Genomic DNA, 21312 nt, shown 5'->3' with positions numbered 1-21312 from the left:
ATACTATAAATTTAAATTTAATTTAATAATTAAATACTGTAACCTCTCTGTGAATGATAGTTACATATTTGGATGAGAAGTTCTTTGAAGTGTACCATTCCACTTTCCTAAGAGAGTATAGTGAGGGAATGTAACTTTGGCTTCCACACACAGAGATTCTGGCCCAAATGAGATTATTGAACACCTTAGCTTCAATCTAGGCTCCAAAAATTTTACTCATTCCTTTCTTCTTCCTTTAATTAATTTATTTATGTATTCCTTCATCTGCTTAGCAAACCATCATTAAGCAGGCATTATGTTCCAGGAGTTGTAGAAAGTATTGCAACCTATTAAAAAAAGTTAAAACGCTATTTCAATTTTTGAGGAATTCCCACAAAGGAACTCTCTATATAAGCCAGTAAATATGACAAAATTTATTAAGTTAAATTACAACTATAAACAAAGTACTATTTATATAGAGAAGCTTAAAAATATTTCTGCAAAAGAATGTTAATAACAAAATGCTATTTAATCATGAAGTCGTTTTTTTGCTGTCTTTCCAGTAGAATATAAGCTTCATAATAAATTTTGTCTGTCTTCTAGCATCTAGAGCAGTGCCTGGTACCTTAAATATGTGTTTGAATGATGAATGAATGGAATTCTAGTCCTAATTTCTTGCATTACACACAATGAAACAGAAGCCCCATTGTAAGTTGAACTAGGATCTGGTTTCTCACATCCGGATTGTCTTTATTTGGGAAGTCAACTTTGTATAACTTTACATGCTATTATTACTGCTATTGGCTACTTGGGAGTATGAAAAATGAGCTAGAAAAATCTATTTTAACAAGAAAAGATTCAGAAATGCCTGAAGTTAACATCTCAAGGGCTATGACTGACCAACACACGTACAGTAAATAAAGAACCTGTGTTTTGAAGAAAGATCTGTACACCTCTAACGTTAAAAAAATAGAAAAGCAGGCTTCATGCAATAAATAATTTTACTTGGATGAAGTAAATTCAAGTAAATTTATCCATTATTTGAATACTTTTTATCCGTTATTCTTATTCCCCATAAGATTTTATACAGAATTTTATTTAGTTCATAATAGGAAAGTATATTCAACTTAAATGTAATATGCTATATACTCGAAGATTAGATGCCAGTATTTATATTATTTTTTGCAATTGTTAGAAATGCCCTTAGATATTTTGTCTCATTTATCTCAGTTTTGTGAAATAAATAATTATTTTAATTTAAGAAAATATCTCAAAAATACATTGAAAAACCTGTTTATCATATGTAATAGTTCTGATTTTTAAGCCTGTAAACATATTTAAAATATGATTGTATAGGCCTCAAGAATATAAAAATAATTTATCAACTCTCTGCAGTTATCTCACACTATAAGAATGCAAAACAGTATTTTCCTCTGGCCATGCAGTGTTAGAGAATTGTAAATACCAAATATGCAATGTCAAATATGACAAAATTCTCACAGGTGAAAACTGACTAAAAATGGATTACTGCAAAAGGAGTCATGAAAGAAAAATAGTCCTGGCAGAAAGTAAAGAAGCATAGTACTGGCCATAAAATAGCATAACTAATCCCCATTTTACACAGAAGTATACTTTTCATTAGATTGTATAGATATAATAATTAACACCTGTATATTGTGATGTGCACTATACACAATGTTTCTCATGAATATTTTGTCTAATCCTCCTGACAACATTGTTACATAAGAGTAAATGAAATAATGAATGTAAAAGGCTTGAAAGTGTGCTGGGCATATGGTACTATATAATTATTAGATGTTATTGTTTTAATTTTTATATTAGTATGTATTTCATAGGAATTCTAAGGATGAACTGACATGTCTTTACATGCTTTAGCCAGCTATCTAATGCATATAGCAAATTCATCATAAAGTTTAGCCTAGTTATTACTATTATTATTATTTCTATCTTAAAAATGACATTGAGGCAGAGTCTTGCTTAAAGGGGCACAAGTATGAAATTGAAGATTCAACATCTAAACTTCTATCACTTGACATCTAGCCCAGTCATCATTTTCTTTTTAACACTTTCTTCCAACACTTCTATTATTTCATTTGCTTTGAACATAAAGGGAGATTTGGAGTTTATACTTACTATTCTAGAAATTGAGAAGTAGAATCTAAATGTGTTTGCTTAATGCATTCGGGCACTCATGCAAAAAGTATTTTTTGCTATTTTATTCGAGATACTGTGTGCTAGGTGCTAAAGTTAAATGGTGAACAACAGCAAGAACAGCAAACAAGGTTAACCTTGCCAACTCACAGAGCAAAAGCATTTGTTGAGGACTTAAAAATTGCATACATGTTAATTTACAATGGCCATTAACATTATAAGAGAGATGTACATGGTTCTATAAGAATTTTCAGTAAGGACAACTGATCTGGTTTAAGATAACGGGGACTACTTCTTGAATAAGTGAACATTGGGTTGGAAGTTGAAGAAAGTAAGTTAGCTAGGCTACATTGTGTTAAGGCAGGACAAGTATAGAAGACGGAAAGAATAGCCTATGGAAGAAGAAAACCTACAAAAAATATATATTTTAAAAGGCTAGTGTAGGTGTTCCAAAAGTAATGGGTGAAAGTGTGATACCGAAGTGGCCTGGAGAGGTATTTACATGACATACCATACAAGGTTGTAGAGAAAATAAGTATTTTTGTTCATTCTGACAATCATGAAAAGCCAAAAAAGTTACTTAATGGGGCATGGATGGGAAGAAATGAGATTTACATTTCAAAAACATCGCTGTGGCTCCTGTGTTTTGAATTGGAAAAAAGGCAAGAATAAATATAGGAAAACCAATCTGAAAACTACTACATGATCCACGTTAAGACTTCATGGTAACTTGGACAAGTATGCTGAGGCTGAATAGAAAAGAAGTGAGAAAATCATGAGTGAAGATGACAAAACTTCATATCAGCTGAGAAATAGAGGAACATATTTGTAATTCTTCCTACCTATAATAACTAAAGTCTACACATGAATGAGATTGCCCAAGGCAAGATTTAATGTGGAAAGAGAAGAGGCTATAGAAGAATGAGCTTGTAAAGGAGACTAATATAGCTAGGGAAATGGAAAATAACTAATAGGTCCTAGGCTTCGTACATGGGTGATAAAATAATCTGCACAACAAACCCCCATGACACACGTTTACCTATGTAACAAACCTGCACATGTACCCCTGAACTTAAAATAAGGAAAGTTAAAAAAGAAAGAAAGAAAGAAAGAAAGTACACAATGACCAGGAAAGACGCTGTTCCAAGGAGAGGAAGTTTAACAATGCAAAATGTTCATTAGCTTTAATGATATAGAAGTCATAGAAAGAGCTGTTTCAGTGACATGATATGGAGAGAAGGTGATGAGAGATGGTGAACACACAAAGACAATGAGGAAAGAGTGGTTGATCATTATGAGAATAAAACTTTCTAGATTCTGACAAAATAAGGTGAATATTTATGTACATAGAAAAAGTAGTACTGCCACATGATGATAGCATAAGAACTTACATCTCACTCTACTCACTAACTTTGTATTAGTATGAGTCTGGATTAACATTTCATTTACAGTGATTTGAATGACTTCAAATTTTGTGCACATAAGTATGTTCGTAATGTGTCTTACACCATACCATTTTAAATTTACAAATTTTGAATTTACTTAAAATTCAACTGAACTACAGAGGAAGCACTTCTGGAAACTTTGGCTGTGAAAGCAACCAACAAGCAAGTATTTAGAGAATATGAGAATTATACTAGGTATGTTTTTAAAAATGAATGTGCATTAACAACAAATGTGTATTGTAGGCTCCATTAGACCTTTGAGTTAATCTGTCCTCCTAGTCCTTCCTTAGTTCAGTGCTAACCAACATATAAAGTTGTTTATCTGATTGGAAGTCAGTGGCAGCATTTTCTGGCTAATTAATTCTAAGCACATTTCAGATAATGATTAAATCCTTAGTAACTAAGTGATTGCCAGGTGAGAAGAGGGAAACTATATTTTTTAACAGAAAAATTGAGAATAGTTTAGATCACCCCACAATAGATTTTTAAAAATAAAACGAGTTGAGGTTTGGACTAACTTAAGTATATAGACTCCAACAAGAGATACTTCCTTTAAAATATTAATACAGTAAAAGGAATAAGCACTGTGATCAAATGGGATTTATTTCTGATGTATAAGGATGGCTCCACATATGTAAATCGATAGATATTATCACCACAATAACAGAATGAAGAAAAAAAAGTACACAATGATCTCAATAGATGCAGAAAAGGTATTTGACAAAACTCAACATCCTTTTACAATAAAAACTCTCAACAAAGTTAAAATAGAAATAATATATCTTAACGTAGTAAAGGCCCTATATGACAAGCTCACATCTAACATCATACTTAAAAATGAAAAGCTTAAAACTTTTCCGCTAAGATTAGGAACAAGACAAAAATGCCTACTCTTATCATTTTTATTCAACATATAACTGGAAGTTCTAGCCAGAGCAATTAGGCAAGAAAAAAAAAACTAAAAAGCATCTAAGTCAAAAGGAAATAAATTAGATTGTTTTTGTCTGCAAGAGGCATAATATTATATATAGAAAACACTAAAAATTTTATTAAAAAATAAAAAGTAATATGTGAATTCAGCAAAGTTGCAGAAATTGAATTCAGCATGCAAAAAATTCTATACACTAATAAAAAAATCTGAAAAATAAATTAAGAAAACAAACCCATTTCCAATATTATTAGAGGGTATAAAATACAGCTGGGCATGGTGGCTCACACCTGTAATCCCAGCACTTTGGGAGGCCGAGGTGAGCAGATCATGAGGTCAGGAGTTCAAGACCAGCCTGAGCAATATGGTGAAACCCCATCTCTGCTAAAAATACAAAAATTAGCTGGGCATGGTGGCACATGCCTGTAGTCCCAGCTACTCAGGAGGCTGAAGCAGGAGAATCGCTTGAACCTGGGAGGTGGAGGATGAAGTAAGCCAAGATTGCACCACTGCACTCCAGCCTGAGTGACAGAGTGAGACTCCATCTCAAAATAAATAAATAAATAAACAAATACATACATACATGCATACATACATACATAGGAATAAATTTAACCAAGCAGGTGGAATATTTATACATCAAAAACTATAAGGCATTGATGAAAGAAATTGAGGAAGACACCAATAAATGGAAATATATCCCATGTTCATGGATTGGAAGAATTAATATTGTTAAAATGTCCATGCTGCCAAAAGTGATCTACAGATTCAATGTAATCTCTATCAAAATTCCAATGAAATTTTTCATGGACATAGAGGACACATCCCAAAATTGGTATGGAACCACAAAACACCCTGAGTAGCCAAAGCAATCTTGAATAAAAAGGAAAAAGCTGGAGGTATCATACTTCCTGATTTCAAAGTGTATTGCAAATTGATGGTTATCAAAACAGTATAGTACTGGCATATAAAGAGACACATAGACCAATGGAACAGAATAGAGAGCCCAGAAATAAAACCACATATATATGGTCAATTAACCTTTGACAAAAGCACACAGTACACATGGAGAAATTATCTCTTCAATAAATGGGGTTGGGAAAGTGGATATCCACATGCAAAAGAATAAACTTGAGCTAATCCAAAATATTCAAAAAATAACTCAAAGTGGATTAGACTCACATTGAAGACCTAAAACCATAGAATTCCTAGAAGAACACAGGGAAAATACTGTCTAACATTGGCTTTGGCAATGGTTTTTATACCAAAAACATAGACAAAAAAAGCAAAAATAAACAAATGAAACTACATCAAACAAAAGCTTCTACACAGCAATGGAAACAATCAAAATGAAAAGGAAGGCCAGGTGCAGTGGCTCACGTGTGTAATCCTAGCACTTTGGGAGGCCAAGGCAGGTGGATTGCCTGAGCTCAGGAGTTTGAGACCAGCGTGGGCAACATGGTGAAACCCTGTCTCAACTAAAATACAAAAAAAATTAGCCTGGCATGGCGGCATGCACCTATAATCCCAGCTACTTAGAAGGCTGAGACAGGAGAATCACTTGAATCTGAAATGTGGAGGTTGCAGTGAGCCGAGATCGCACCACTGCACTCCAGCCTGGGCAACAGAGCAAGACTTCATTAAAAAAAGAAAAAAGAAAAAGAAAAGGCAACCCACAGAATGAAATAACGTATTTGTTAAACATATATCTAATAAGAAATTAATATCCTGAATATATAAGAAACTCATGCAACTCAATAGCAGAAAAATGAATAACCCAGTTTAAGAAATGGGCAAAGAACCTAAATAGACATTTTTCAAATAAAACATACAAAAGGCCAAAAAGTATATGAAAAAATGCCCAATATCACTAATTAGAGAAAGGCAAATCAAAACTATAATGAAATATTATGGTTTTAATGTTGGTAAGGATAAAGGTCAGTGAGTAGAGAAAAGGGAAACTTTTTATACTGTTGATGGGAATGTAAACTGATACAGTCATTATGGAAAACAGTATGGAGGTTCCTCAGAAATTAAAAATAGAACTGCCTTCTGAACCAGCAATTCTACTTCAGGGTATATATCCAAAGGACATGAACTCATTATGTCCAAAAGTTATCTGCACTCTCATTTTCATTGCAGCAGTGTTCACAATAGCCAAGCTATGGAATCAACCTAAATTTCCATCGTCAATGAATAGATAAAGAAAATGTGGTACAGATACATAATTGAAATCTATTCAGCCTTAAAAAAGAAAATTCTGCTGTTTGTGACAACATAGGTAAACCTAGAGAACACATGCTAAGTGAAATAAGCCAGGCACAGGAAGACAGATACTGTATGATCTCACTTATACATGGAATCTAAAAAAGTGGGACTAATGGAAGCAGAAAGTAGGATGGTGTTTGATGGGGGCTTGGGAGGGGAGTGGCGAGGAATGTGGAGATGCTGTTCAAAAAGCACACATACGATGAATCAGTCACGGGACAAATGAACAGCATGGTGACTCTAGTTAGTAATGCTGTAATGTTTACTTGAAATGTGCCTAGAAAGAGCTATAGTGTCTTCACCACACACACACATGCACATGCACACACACACACGCAGTGGTAACTTGGTGTGGTGATGGATGTGTTCATTAATTTGATTGAGGTAATAATTTCACAATGTGTAGGTATATCAAATCATCACACTGTACAACTTGAATATAAACTGCTTTTATTTGTCAATTATACTTAAAAAAGCTGGAAAAAAATAGCATAAAGGAAGAGAAGAAAAAGAAAAAACTAAAGCGAATTAATTTAGAAAAGTGATTCTTGATTATTTAAGATCATGTAACCTACATTTTAAATTTCCATCCTTTGTGGATTGGTTTTCCACATTTACTAAAAAACCTAGTTGAATGTACATATAAGTTTTTAATTCAATTTTAATACCAGTAAATAACATTTTTGAGCACCTATAGGGTGCCAGAAACTGCAGACACACACACACACACACACACACACACACACACACAATTTAAATTCTCATACAACTTTGAGATAAAGAAATTATCTATATTACAGATGAGAAAATCAGGGGTTGACAAAACTAAGTTAAATGCCTAAGGCCATGTAGTTTGTAAATGGCGTGGCTAGCACAGCTATAATTTAATCCAAACCCTGTCACATTTTAAAGCCACTTTCTATAATGTCCCTCTAGTGTTCTAATTTGTGGTCCAGGATTAAATGAAGTCGGATAGAGGTAGAAGTAAAGAAGATACAGCAAACAAAAAGAAAGATACAAAGTAGAAGTAGAATCCACAATCTGTACAATACCCCACCCTCACCCCAAGATGCCTGCATTCATTTCCAGCAAACTTTCACAAACAGCCCCAGGAAGTCACTGTATATATATGAAAACAAGCTCATATTCAAAAAGACCTTTTCACTGGGTTTCCCAGGGGGCAAGGGATGAACTGTCACACCTGAATCTATGAATCAAAACCAGGCAGAGTTTTGCAACATTAATATACAAGAAGACTTTTAAGCTGAGAAATTGTTGAGTACTAATCATGAGAAATTTGATGGCAAGTTATTCAAGAAACTTGAAAGTGACTTTATCTCAGGAGAACAAGTTACTGAAATCAATTCTATCTAACAAGACATCATCTCTAATGGAAACAGAAATCTTCTGCTTCCTAATCTAAGTCCCAATGTGAAGAACAAGCATAAGGACTTTACAAGGATTAGAAATTAGAAAAATTGCCACTTTTAGAACAGTCCAATAATATAAAAATGCAGAACCACAGGGAAAGCTCCATAATTTGGAAAGTGAATCATCAAAATAAATTGATCAGATATGAACTGAAGATAAATATTACAGAAAAAGACAACTGATCTATGTCCCCATGTGACTATGCATTTATGAACACAATTTCCTCCAATGTTAATTTATTCAATCATCATCATTAGAATTCATTTAAGTTGATTTCCATCTCTGTAGTAAGGAGTAAAGTAAGAATTAAATAAAACGCCTCAATCCTGGTGTAGAAACATTAAAACATTTGTAATTATATTTGAGATAAACTGTTTATTATCTTAACATAAGCAAAATAGAGCCAATTAATAACTTTGAAGAATTATCACAAAACACCTGCCAATATATATACCTTTATAACCAAAATTACATAAATTTTCTATTTTTTATATGTATCTGATGAACCAGGCATTGTTTCGGGATAGATCTAAGCTACTTAGTAATAGAAATAAATATTAATGGATAGGAATAAAAATAATGTTCAGATATTCCCACACTCATGGAGTTTATATTTCTAATTAGGAGACACAATAAATATAACAAAGGAAAGAATTTTACAGTCAGTTGGAAGGTGATGAGACTACAGAAAAAAGAAAATGTAGAGCATAGTAGAAGCATGCGCAGCTTATCTTCCCAGCTTCTGGTCTGCCAACAGCAACCCCTGGCTCACCATCAGATTCATATCTGTGGATTCCAGAGGAAGTAGCCACACAGAGGCAACCGCTTGTCAGAGACCTCTCCACAAACAACTCCTTCAGGTTTTCTCCAGAGGCTGGATGTGCTTGGCCTTTTAGATCTTCATGCTCTTTTTCCAGACATTTGCATCCCTCATTCTCCTACATTTTATAAGGCTCATTTCCTACAGTAAATCACTAATATTAAAGTCACCATAGCTCTGCTTCAGCTGAATGTAACCAATAGAAAAACCATTCTCCACAATGCAAGCAGAATGTTCTTTCCAAAGACAAAAATGTGACCATGTTCTTCATCTGTTAAAAGTTATCAGTGGTAGTTTATTTTTTTAATTTTTTTTTCTAATGTCAACTTCTATTTTAGATTCAGTGGGTTGAGATTCTATTTTAGATTCATGTGTAGGTTTGTTACATGGGTTAATTGTGTGATGCTGGGGTTTGAGGTATGAATGATCTCATCACTCAGATAGTGAGCATAGTATTCAATAGGTAGTTCTTCGGTGCTTGTCCCTCCTTCCCTCCCACCTCTAGTAGACCCCTGTGTCATTGTTGTCATCTTAAAGTCCATGACTACCCAATGTTCAGCTCTCACTTATTAGTGACTACATGCAGTATTTGGTTTTCTGTTCCTGCATTAATTTGCTTAGGATAATGGCTTCCAGCTGCATTCACACTACTGTAAAGGACATGATTTCTTTCTTTTTTATGGCTGCATAGTATTCTGTGGTATACATGTACAGCATTTTCTTTATCCAGTCCACTGTTGATGGACATCTAGGGTGATTCCTTGTCTTTGCTGTTGTGAATAGTGCTGCAATGAACATACAAGTGCATGTGTCTTTTTTGAAGAATAATTTATTTTTCTTTGGGTATATATACAATAATAGAATTGCTGGGTTGAATGGTGACTCTGTTTTAAGTTGTTTGAGAAACCTCCATACCTCTCTCCACAGTGGCTGAACTAATTTACATCCCCACCAACAGTGTATAAATATTCTTTTTTTCTCTGCAGCCTCATCAGCATCTGCTATTTTTTGACTTTTTAATAACAGCCACTCTGACTGGTATCAGACATTATCTTATTGTGGTTTTGATTTGCATTTCTGTGATTAGTAAGGTGGATCATTTTTTTTCATATGTTTATTGGTCACTTGCATGTCTTCTTTTGAGAAGTATCTCTTCATGTCCTCTGCTCACTTTTTAATAGGGTTTTTTTTTTTTTGTATTTTCTTTTTTGGCTTTTTGAGTTGTTTACGTTCCTTATACATTGTGGATATTAGACACTTTTTGGATGCATAGTTTGTGAATATTTTCTCCCATTCTGTAGATTGTCTGTTCACTCTGTTGATACTTTCTTTTGCTGTGCTGAAGTTCTTTCATTTAATTAGGTTACACTTCTCAATTTTTGTTTCTATTGTAATTGCTTTTGAGGACTTAGCCATAAATTGTTTGCCAAAGCTGATGTTGAGGTCATTTTCTAGGTTCTCTTCTAGGATTTTTAATGTTTGAAGTCTTTCATTTAAATCTTTAATCCATCTTGAGTTAATTTTTGTATGTGGTGAAAAGTAGGGTCCAAATTCATTCTTCCGCATATGACTATATGACTAGCCAGTTGTCTCAGCATCGTTTATTGAGTAGGGAGTCCTTTCCCCATCACTTGTTTTTTTGTTTGTTTGTTTTTTGTTTTTTTCTAATGGTTTTGACAAAGATAAGATGATTGAAGGTGTGCTGCTTTATTTCTGGATCCTCTATTCTGTTCCATTGGTCTGTGTGTCTGTTTCCGTACCAGTAATTGTAGCTTATTTTCTTCAGCATGAAGTCTTAAATCTGAAAATGATTTACCAGGCCTTCATGTTATCTCAACACATCTAAATAGGCTTCTCTGTCTCAGATTCAAAATAGAGAAATTCTACCCTTTTCTCAAACTCTCTCTCATCTCTAGGTCATCGTACATAAGTTCTCTCTCCCTGGAGCATTCTCTTCATTTTTCATGTAATAAATGTCTTATTCTTCAGAACTCAAAAATAACACTTTTTAAAATAAACCCTCCCAACACCAACGTTACTAGTCAGGCTTTTCTGCCATTTAGACTCCCAGTGTCTCATGATCCCTATTCTGTACTTGTACCACACTTCATTAAAATTGCAAATTTGACCGTATGTCTTCCCATCTAAACAATAAGCTCCAAAAAGACAACAGCCATGTCTGCTTGTTGTTCATTGTTATATCCCCAGTGCCAACATTGTTCTAGTACATAATAAATACTTCATCAACATTTGTAGAATGAACAGATGGTTGAATTAATAAATCACAGTTATATTAGTTATCTATTCCTGTGTAAAACATTACTGTAAACTTAGAGGATCAGAGTGACACACATTTATTATCTCATAGCTTCTATGGTAAAGAGTCCCTGCACAGCTTCATTGGGTCCTCTTCTTCAGAGTCTCTCTCTCACATGCCTCTTATCAAGGTGTCACCCAGGGCTGTCATCTCATTTGTAAGCCAGAATGGTAAGGATCTGTTTCTAAGATTGTGTGATTGTTGGCAAGATTCCATTTTTCACAGGTTTTTGGACTGAAAGCCTCAGTCTTTTTTTGGTTACTGGACAGAGACCAACCTCAGTTCTTTGCCATATGTAACTCTCAACATTTCAGCTTGCTTCATCAAAGCCAGCAAAGGAGAGAGTCTGCTACCAACACAAAAGTCAGAATCTTTTGCGATCTAATGATAGAAGCAATATCCCCTCAACACTGAGGTACTGTATTACTTATAAGTAAGTTACTCAATGAAAGGCCTTGATTACTAGCATGTAGGGATTATTGGGGGACCAACTTAGACTTTGCCTCCCATAACAGTTGGGTGCCAGAACTTGTGCTGGAACAACTATGATGAACTTCTGTTGGTTTTCAAGTGCTTGTTAGAAGATGGCTCAAGCTAACCTAAAAGATCAGTGACAAACTAGTCGGAAGATGTATTTCATGAATTTAAGGTTGCCTCACACACTTCTTAAGCTCATCTTTTCTAAATATATTTAAAATACCCAAGTGAGGCCAGGCGTGGTGGCTCACGCCTGTAATCCCAGCACTTTGGGAGGCCGAGGCAGGTGGATCACGAGGTCAGGAGATCGAGACCATCCTGGCTAACACGGTAAAACACGGTCTGTACTAAAAAATACAAAAAATTAGCCGAGCATGGTGGCAGGCGTCTGTAGTCCCAGCTACTCGGGAGGCTGAGGCAGGAGAATGGTGTGAACCCGGGAAGTGGAGCTTGCAGTGAGCTGAGATTGTGCCATTGCACTCCAGCCTGGGCGACAGAGTGAGACTCCATCTCCAAAAAAAAAATCCCAAGTGATAATAATTAGTAGTAGAGAGAGTTTTATTAAATGCTAGTAATATTATGGAAAAACAGACCAGGAAAGAAAACTTAAGGAGTGAATTATTCAAATAGTTTACAACAGTTGTTTAAGTCTCATTCATAATATATGTAGGCTACACATCAGCCACAACTCTAATTCAGGCTCTTAACTGAAACACTTTCTCCTCAAAACTGAAACACTGTTACTTCCCTTGGCATTCTGATCATGGGCGGGAATTATACTTTACCTACAGGAAGAACTGGGAGTTGCCTGGCACTGAGCTGAGCTGTATAGTCCACTTTGAGGGACAGGGAAGGGGCATTATTGACTGGGTACAATGATGTGATATACCATAAAATCTAGTACTTTTATTTTATAGGTAAAGAAACTTTGATGGTGAAGGGGCCAATGGATTTGCTCTCTCAAGGTTAGTTGACAAATTGACTCAAAAAAAGGCAGATTAAGTAGAGAAAAGGCATACAAATGTATTTAACGTGTATACATGGGAACCTACCAAATGAAGACCCAAAGATACAGGGGAAATTGTCCATTTTTATACTTAGGTTCAGCAAAGTACGGTCTGCCATGTAGAAAGATGATTGGACAAAAAGAGCATGTTCTAATGCTAATAGGCTGAGTAAGGAAACCCAGTAAGGCCTGTCTGTCTAGATTCTTCTTGGCTTTTCAGAGCAGGTATTCCTTCCTTCTGGGTATGAGGCAGGACCCTCTCCAGAGTGAGGGTCTTATGATCTATAATCAAGAAAGTTAGGTCAGATAATTTCTTTGTAGCCAGCTTTTACACAGATAGGACAGAGGGAAAGTTAGAGTAATATTTTTAGGTTTTTGTGGCTGACGTTGGGGAAAAGGGGTTCTGCTTTCTACGACCCACCTCGGTGAAGAGGGATTCTCATTTCTAGGCTTACGTCAGGGGAGAATGGGATGGGGAGACAGGAGGGCAGGAGAAGGTCACAGAAAAACTCTTGCTTCTGAGGCTGCTTTGAAGGCCTTCATTTGGGGGTATCAGTTTCTGAGTCCCAAAGACAGGCTAATGACTTACTCCAGTGTACACAGTAAGTTAATGGCCAAACTTAACCTAAAAACTCATCTTTCATCTATTTGTTAATTCTTTCAACAAAATTTTATTTTATTTTAATATGCACTGCCAGAACTTACACTAGGAGCTGGGGATAGAAGAATTAAGTGAGCTATAGAGATCAGTTTATTAAGGAGATAGGTATGTGAACAGGAAGCTACAGCATAAATTTTTCCAAAAAGCTATACATTGAAGTTCATTTGAACTAGGTATTAACTAATGAGTATAAGTGTCCCATTATACCCCACACTATAATTAAGAGGGTGTAATGTGGGCATATTAGTAAGGGAGAACAACATGTGCAAAGGTATAGAAGCAGTGATGAGCATAGTGTTTTTTAAAGTTTTATGATCAGAACATATGTCTATTGAGTCAATAGAGTTTGTGAGTGGTCCTCAAATGGCCCTCCATATTACTAGGTTAGTGCAAAAGTAATTGTGGCTTATGCCATTAAGAGTAATGGCATCAACTTAATACACAGATTTTCCTATCTCTGACCTTAGAGAATAGTAACATTTATGTTGAGTTAATAATAGTAAATATTGAATAGAATAGAAACAGAGACATGTTTAAAAAATGACAAATCCACTACTTTTTAGTGAAATAAGCTCACACTCTACCTTCTCTCCTTAGCTTAAGATTTTCAATTATGTGCAAAAGTTGCCTTGAAGTCCATGATCAACAAAGTATGGGAGAAAAATGCCTAAGTTTCTGAGCTGTAAATATATGACCAAATATTTAAAAGCACAAAGCAGATATATTTTTGTTTTTTTCAATACCAGAAAGTGCTATATTTTGAGACTTAGTGAGTCTAGACCAGTCCCAGAAAGCAGGGAAGGATGAAGTGAGGTAAAATGACATGCCTCTGCTGAAATGTGCCATATCCAACTCAGAGCTGCTTTATAGTTCATGAGGAGTCAGCCTAAAGTTACCAGATCTACCACTTTGACCAAAATTACAAGTTAAATCAGGAACCACACATAAGTTTAAGCAGTAGTTGAGTTTTTCCTACTGAGCTGACCAAATCAAAGTTACCTGACGTTGTGTAGACAACTTTATTAGAGAAGATATTCACCTAATGTAACATAACACCTCAATGGCCTTGAATATTCATGTGAGTCATCTGGAATACTCAGATATATTCAAGGACTGTAAAATAAAGTTCTTAAATACAAGGCTCCATGTAAGTGTTGAGGAGGTCAGTTTTACAGCAAAAATTTAGAATACCTGTGTTTTGTAAAAAGTATTGGCTTACAGTCTTCAAGGACCAAAACACCTGTGAAAATTAGAGGAGGCTGACATTGACTTAGTGCTCTTTGTAAGAAGTTTTTCCATATTCCTGCAATCGTGTGAGATAAACTTTATTATCTTCATTTTATAAATGTAAAAACATGGGGTGAAAAATGTTCACTATCTTGCCTAGCCACAAATAAGTTAAGCGATGACCTTTTCATTTTAAAACCATGCTTTTTTCATTCCTGTGAACTACTGCAGATCTAAGTTGGAGGGAGAGAGAAGGTGGCCTGAAAAGCACTTATCTGCTTGTTAACGAAGGTGACAAGCCATCCTGGCTTGCCTCGGACTGCCCTGGTTTTAGAACTAAAATTTCTGTGTCCCAGGAAACCCCTCAACCTGGGCAAACTGGTACTATAGGTCACCTTAACATTCTGAAGTGCTAAGGTCACACCACTGAAACTCATACGGAGCAGAGATACACAGGGCAGGGAGACCCAGAGCCTCTGTAAGTACAAGTGGAATAAATGAGTACCACAGGGATGAAAGGGGCATTATTGGGAAGTATAACACTTTTTCTGTTGGTCCGTTTTCTGACAAAAAATTACCTTTGCATTTTGTGGTTCTCCTTATCTTCTTTCACAGTTCACCTTTGTTTCACCTGGCCGACCAACTGACATGACTCACAGAATACATTTGCATCACCTTAGACAGTTTCATTAGTGCTTTACTCTACCAAGGTGAATTAGCTATCATTAACACAAGAGTAATTTGAATATTAAGGCTGCTGCTAAAAAGGTGCTTGCAGAGAATAGTCTGCCCTTCTATTTAAAGTGAGCTAGCCTCCTAAAAATAAATCTAGTGCTGGCTAGTGAAAAAAAAAAAGAAAAGAAAAAAGAAAACAGAGAAAGCTAATCTTTCCTGGGATAGGTTAGTCTCAGAAAGACTGTTGCTAAGTTAATCTGTCACTAGTTCAAAATGACAGTCTGTCATTGGCCACTGTCACCATCTATAGTGTATGCAGCTTCTGCATTCTTTTTTCCTGGAGGATTGCTTTGTCTGTCTCTGAAATTATGTTAATTGGAAGTTTGTAAATGGAAGAGCTTCAGTATTGTACAGAACCAAATGGTGGATGACTTGGGAGGTAAGTGTAAAAAGCTCTGGGATGTGAGAAGTAGAAACAATGATAACACCAATAATGAATATTTATTGAGCACTTTCTATGTGCTAGATATTATTCTAAGCATTATCTTTTTTTTTTTTTTTTTTTTTTGAGATGGAGTCTTGCTCTGTCACCCAGGCTGGAGTGTAGTTGCGTGATCTTGGCTCACTGCAACCTCCACCTTCTAGGTTCAAGTGATTCTCCTGCCTCAGCCTCCTGAGTAGCTGGGATTACAGGCATGTGCCACCACACCCAGCTAATTTTTGTATTTTTAGTAGAGATGGGGTTTCAGCGTGTGGATCGGGCTGGTCTCGAACTCCTGACCTCATGATCCACCTTCCTCGGCCTCCCAAAGTGTTGGGATTACAGGCGTGAGCCACCATGCCCGGACAGCATTATCTGTTTTTAAACTCGTTTTACTCTTGCAAACTCATGAGGTACTATTACTATCCCTATTTTACCAAGATGGAGGTCAATAATCTACACAGATCATGTTCCAAACTACTATACCAATAAAGTTTATTTATAATTAAAAAAATAATAAAATAAAGTGAGCTAGCCAGCCTCCCGGTTCAGGTAACCCTGATGACAGATTGAATCAGTGTTGGCTTCTGCAGTGTGCTATTTGGAACTCTAGGCAGGCCTTCATCTCACAAGTATCTCCATCTCCGCTTTATTACATTGCCTGAAATGCTGTCATTAGCAGAGGTTTTAAGAGGACGCTCCAAGTAAGACAGGACAAGAGAAGGCAAGGACTCCAGGAAGTGGCATAGAAGAACGTTCATTTGCAATTTGGCAGAGTCAGCCCTGTCCTTGTTGAAGATGCAGCAAATGTGCTTCACTAGCAGTTTCTGCAAAGGTGAACTATAGGCCAGTGAGTCAAAAGTATTACAAATTCATTTGTTTTGTAAGGTTTTTGGCCTAAGCTCATTTAAAACTTTAAGGCAGTATTCAGCAGAAAAGATCATTCCAAACAGAAAAAAAATATGTCATTTTATGTAAAAGACAGCTTTACTGAGTGAGTCAATTTTCTGGAGCTGTTATAACCATTTTCATTAAGTCAAAGGTCTCTGATCATACAGGAGCTATTTTATCAACTTCAGATGACCTCTGCTGGGATGGCATAATACTATAAAATTGTTACCTTGATCCTTGGCAATGTTTATTGCCTCTTTGTATAACTATAAGAACAGTTGCATCCTAGCATAATGAGGACACTTTCCAAGTCTCAAGATGAAGTTTGGCCTTAAGGAAAGAATGAAGCCAAATCCCTAACAGAGAATTACAAAGACAGCTTTGTGGCAATATTTTGTAACACACAGTTCATTACGAGAATGCTCTTTAATATGCAAAATCTATTGTTAACATTGTGGTTTGTAATGCTTAAACCACAGATGCACAAACTTTACTTCAGTCAATATGTGGGATCATGAATTCTTTATTTTCAATGCCTCAGAAATCTGCAATTGTGCTATGTGTACAACTACACTATTACCCACATCAAGAGTAGAAAAGAGTATTGTTTATAGAAAAGATTCTCAACTAAAAGGATGATCTTAATTTAAAATATTAAAATAAAATAAAAACATTTATGGCCAAATAAAGCTTGGAGAATCACAATGTATAGGAGCATAATAAAAATTCTCAAATCCCTGATGAAATATTCAAACAACCACCACAAAAAACAAAATTATTTGATTACAGAAACATGCTTTAACGTTATTTCTATGGAATACATTTAGAAAATATTAATAAGGATCAATTAATTGCAATCATTTGTGACATAAAATCACAGACATAAAGTCACTGTGGTTATTGATAAATAAAATCAAAAACATAGATATGCTGTGGTTATGGATAAACTTTTGTCATTCTGTAAGCTCGGTTGGTGTTCCTGGAAAGCTGTAGAATGAATGAAGACATCATACTACATCAAATGCTGGGTCAGTTCTCATAAGGAATTGGAGCAATTGTCCAGTCTGCTAACGCTGGCTTACTTTGAGGGCTATGGCGGCTAACTATGAAGCCTCATTAACTGTTTCAGATAAATAGAGCCTGTCTTCTTCTACTCTGTTGAACTGAATTAATGTAATGTCGGGAAATTACCCATCAAAGTAATCTATGCTAGGCTGGTTAATTTGGGGCCACAGGGCAAGGCAGCAGCATATCAGACAGCAACGGGATGCACTAGGGCTGGTAATGAGCACTACCTGAAGGTCAACAGGTGTCCTTCCTGAGAGCACGATGGGGAAAATATCACAGGCCATACATCAGTCTTTTTCTACCTTAGCCACCCACCTAAGGAATACTTTGATAAGATGGCTGTTGAGGAGGAAAGATTAATATTCATTTCATGGTCTACCTGTGACTTGTAGCAGCTTTTACTAAATCTCGTTTTGTTTTAATAGATGTAATTCTATCTGCAATCCATCAGAAGATGAATAAAAAAACAAGGTTCAACTCTATATGCTTTAGGTACTAAGAAATTCTGTATTGCTGAGTTAGAAAAGAGGCATTCCAAAAAAAAAAAATCACCAGGTAGAAAAGAATCCTTTATAAATAATACCACATTTTACTCATATTTATGTTTTAAACTCATTTGTCAAAGGCTGTAGAATTCTCATGTATTACTAAAAACCCTCTGAGGAAACATGCTTCTATAAACTGCTTCATTAAAATTATGAAATTCTAAAACTCACTACAGCAAAATATAATAGGAAATGACTCATATGAGGTATTTTCCTATTACAAAATGGCTCAGATTCCTTCAAAATGTGCTGTTCTGTTGGTACAGTCTTGAAAATAAGATGCCAGTACAATAACTTCAACATTATTAAATCCATCAACTATAACACTGTACTACCAGTGAACTCTACTTAAAGACGAGTATTCTAATTACTATTAAAGTTACAAGTAAATAGCTGTTTTAAATAAATATTTCAGTTCATTAGGGAAAAATGTCAAGTAATTATTCATTAAATGAATGAAAAAATATTATTCATGTTATTCATTAAAGTATCTAGTGAATCCATAGGCAATAATTTCCTAATAGGTAATTTTTTTAAAATTTGCAAATAATGTTCAAAAAATTTTTACTATGGTGCTAATTTTAAATTTAATATATGATTAGATGTCTAAGGCCATAAAGATTACATTTTGTCCAGATTTGTGCAAAATGAGAACATATTACATATGTAGAACTACACTAGTCAGTGGGGAGACATAGTCAAAGGATACAGGATTTTAGATAGAAGAAATTTAAAAATCTGTGGTACAGCATGATGACTACAGTTAATAACAATTTATTACATACATAAAAATTGCTCAAAGATGTTTAGTGTTCTCACCACAAAAGAAAATAAGTATGTGAAGAAATGGATATGTTAGTGAGCTTGATTTAGCCATTGAACAATGTATGAATATTTCAAAATATTGTGTTGTAAACTATAAGTATATACAATTTTTATTTTTAAGTTTTAAAAATGTACTTAAAAAGAACTATACTGGGCTAGGCTTATTACAAAAATCAATAAACAGGATTCCTTTAGAAAATCATTTTCTAGTAACAGCAAATATTTTGAATACAGTGAAATAGCTTTGAGGCATAAGGCATCTTTTTCAAACATTTGATTTGTAAAGAGAAAATGGACATAATAGTGATGAAAAATATGTTTATCTAATTCTACTAGTTTTTAACTTATGCATTTTTGTACACTGCAATAAATAGAATACATTTATCATAAAACTAGAGTGCTAAGTTTTGAAATTCACGAAAGACAACATTTTGACTCATGTTTTGGATTTCATATTTATTTTATCACTCCAAAAGCTTCATTTTCTGAGGTTAAAAAAATAAAATACATTATATTTCAATTCATTTAAATAACATAAAATATAAAATGTACTTTCTTTAGTTTTTAAAGCCAATAACCTGCTCTTTGTTTCTTTAAGGTCTTTCTTGCATACAACCCAATCTTATTTCAACTTTCTTGAGCAGCCAAAAAAGCAATATGCTGGTGAGAACACTGCTGGGAATAGTAATTGAATGAATCAAGTCTGAATCCTTACCCTGTTCAGGTCCAGCAAATAGATGACATTTAAGAATAACTGTTTCTCCTTTGTAGCTATATTAGCTGCAGTGCTTTCTTTCAACAACACATAAAAGTATTCTGAAGACAGTTTGTTGTATTTTCAAGCAGCACCTGGATGAAATAAAGTTGCTTAGTATTTCTGTCTTGTCTTTTTGTTGTGGTTGTTGTTTTATTTTCCTTTTTCAAATACAAGCCTTTTTTTTTTAAATTTAAGAATTTGACCACTTCAATCAAGTATGTCTAAAATAAGACTTCAAATATGTATGTTTGTTTCTGTGGTTAAGAATAAAAATGAAATTGATTTTAGTTTAGGAAATACATAACTGAGTTAAACTCATAAACTATGACCAAACTTATTTCCAGAGATCTTTCAGTTTACAAACTCGATCTGTATTCTCTAATAGGATTTAGGGACTCAATACCCTTGTGGGAACAAGAAGATATTGAGAATTTATACAATATGTGCAACAGGACATGGTGTTTTGTTTTCTTCTATACCCTTTTCTAATTTATCTCCTTTATTAAAGTGCACCTAATAGCTTATAAAAAGGAAAACAAGTAAATATATGTAAATATAGTTCCAACAAATTCTCCCTGCCATGAAAATCCAGTAAGGCAGTAGCCTTATCTGTGGATCCGTCTTCACAGACAGCTCAGATTAACAGATTAATCTCAGGATTTAGAGAATGAAGAAGAATGAGGGAGATGCCCATTCCTTCTATTGGAGAAAAGGACAAGCTAAACCATGTATGAGATTTAAGAACAGGGCCTACTTACTCTCTTCTGAGTTATGCCTATGAGTGGGTCAATTTGCCCAGGTGTCAGATGAGGTAGAGTTAAAACACCTCTGCAATTTCTAGACTAAAATTTCATTTTGAAAATTTCAAAAGTCAGTTGATATCAGTTTATAAGAGAAGTTTCCCCCAAAAGGACATTGCTCTGTCATTTTAATATAGATATATTTGCTAAACAAGAAAAACTCTGCTCCCATGAGAGGAGTGTTATTATTGGTGTGTAAGGGGTCTTTGTAGGTTACAGATATAGTTAATAGTTCCTATGACTAAATGTATAGTTAGTCTTTTCAAAAACCTTACAAGTCTTTTACTTAATACATTATACGGTTGATATATTTAAATGTGTAGTCACTCTGCACATCATCTTATATATATCACCCAGCTTAGAGGACCAGACAAGCTAAGAGATAGATACCTCCCATTATTTCTTTGCTGCTGTCTGTAATGGGCTTGGGGGATCGTTTTGAAAGTTATGATCTTAACCAGCTGACATACGGTAGCTGTTGACATGTTAGAGTCAGCTCAAGCAGAGAAGCTTCTCTCAGAGTCTGAATCTTCAAAAGG

General features: G+C 34.9%; 1 long non-coding RNA gene across 4 annotated transcripts in view; it reads right to left on the bottom strand.

Moving 5' to 3' along the window:
- The window catches only part of LINC01709 (long intergenic non-protein coding RNA 1709), a 147996-nt gene that overhangs the window by 30281 nt on the left and 96403 nt on the right, over positions 1-21312 (bottom strand). For 3 of the 4 annotated variants that reach the window (NR_183474.1, NR_183476.1, NR_183473.1), the window contains one exon: positions 19932-20065. The exons of the other annotated variant lie outside the window; for it this stretch is intronic. This is a non-coding gene — a long non-coding RNA (long intergenic non-protein coding RNA 1709). The remainder of the gene's footprint in view (positions 1-19931; positions 20066-21312) is intronic. 4 annotated transcript variants of the gene reach the window in all.

The sequence above is a fragment of the Homo sapiens genome, chromosome 1, assembly GCF_000001405.40.
Source record: "Homo sapiens chromosome 1, GRCh38.p14 Primary Assembly".
Lineage (NCBI taxonomy): Eukaryota > Metazoa > Chordata > Mammalia > Primates > Hominidae > Homo > Homo sapiens.
Note: the sequence above shows the minus strand (reverse complement) of the source record. Positions and strands in the feature narration are given on the sequence as shown.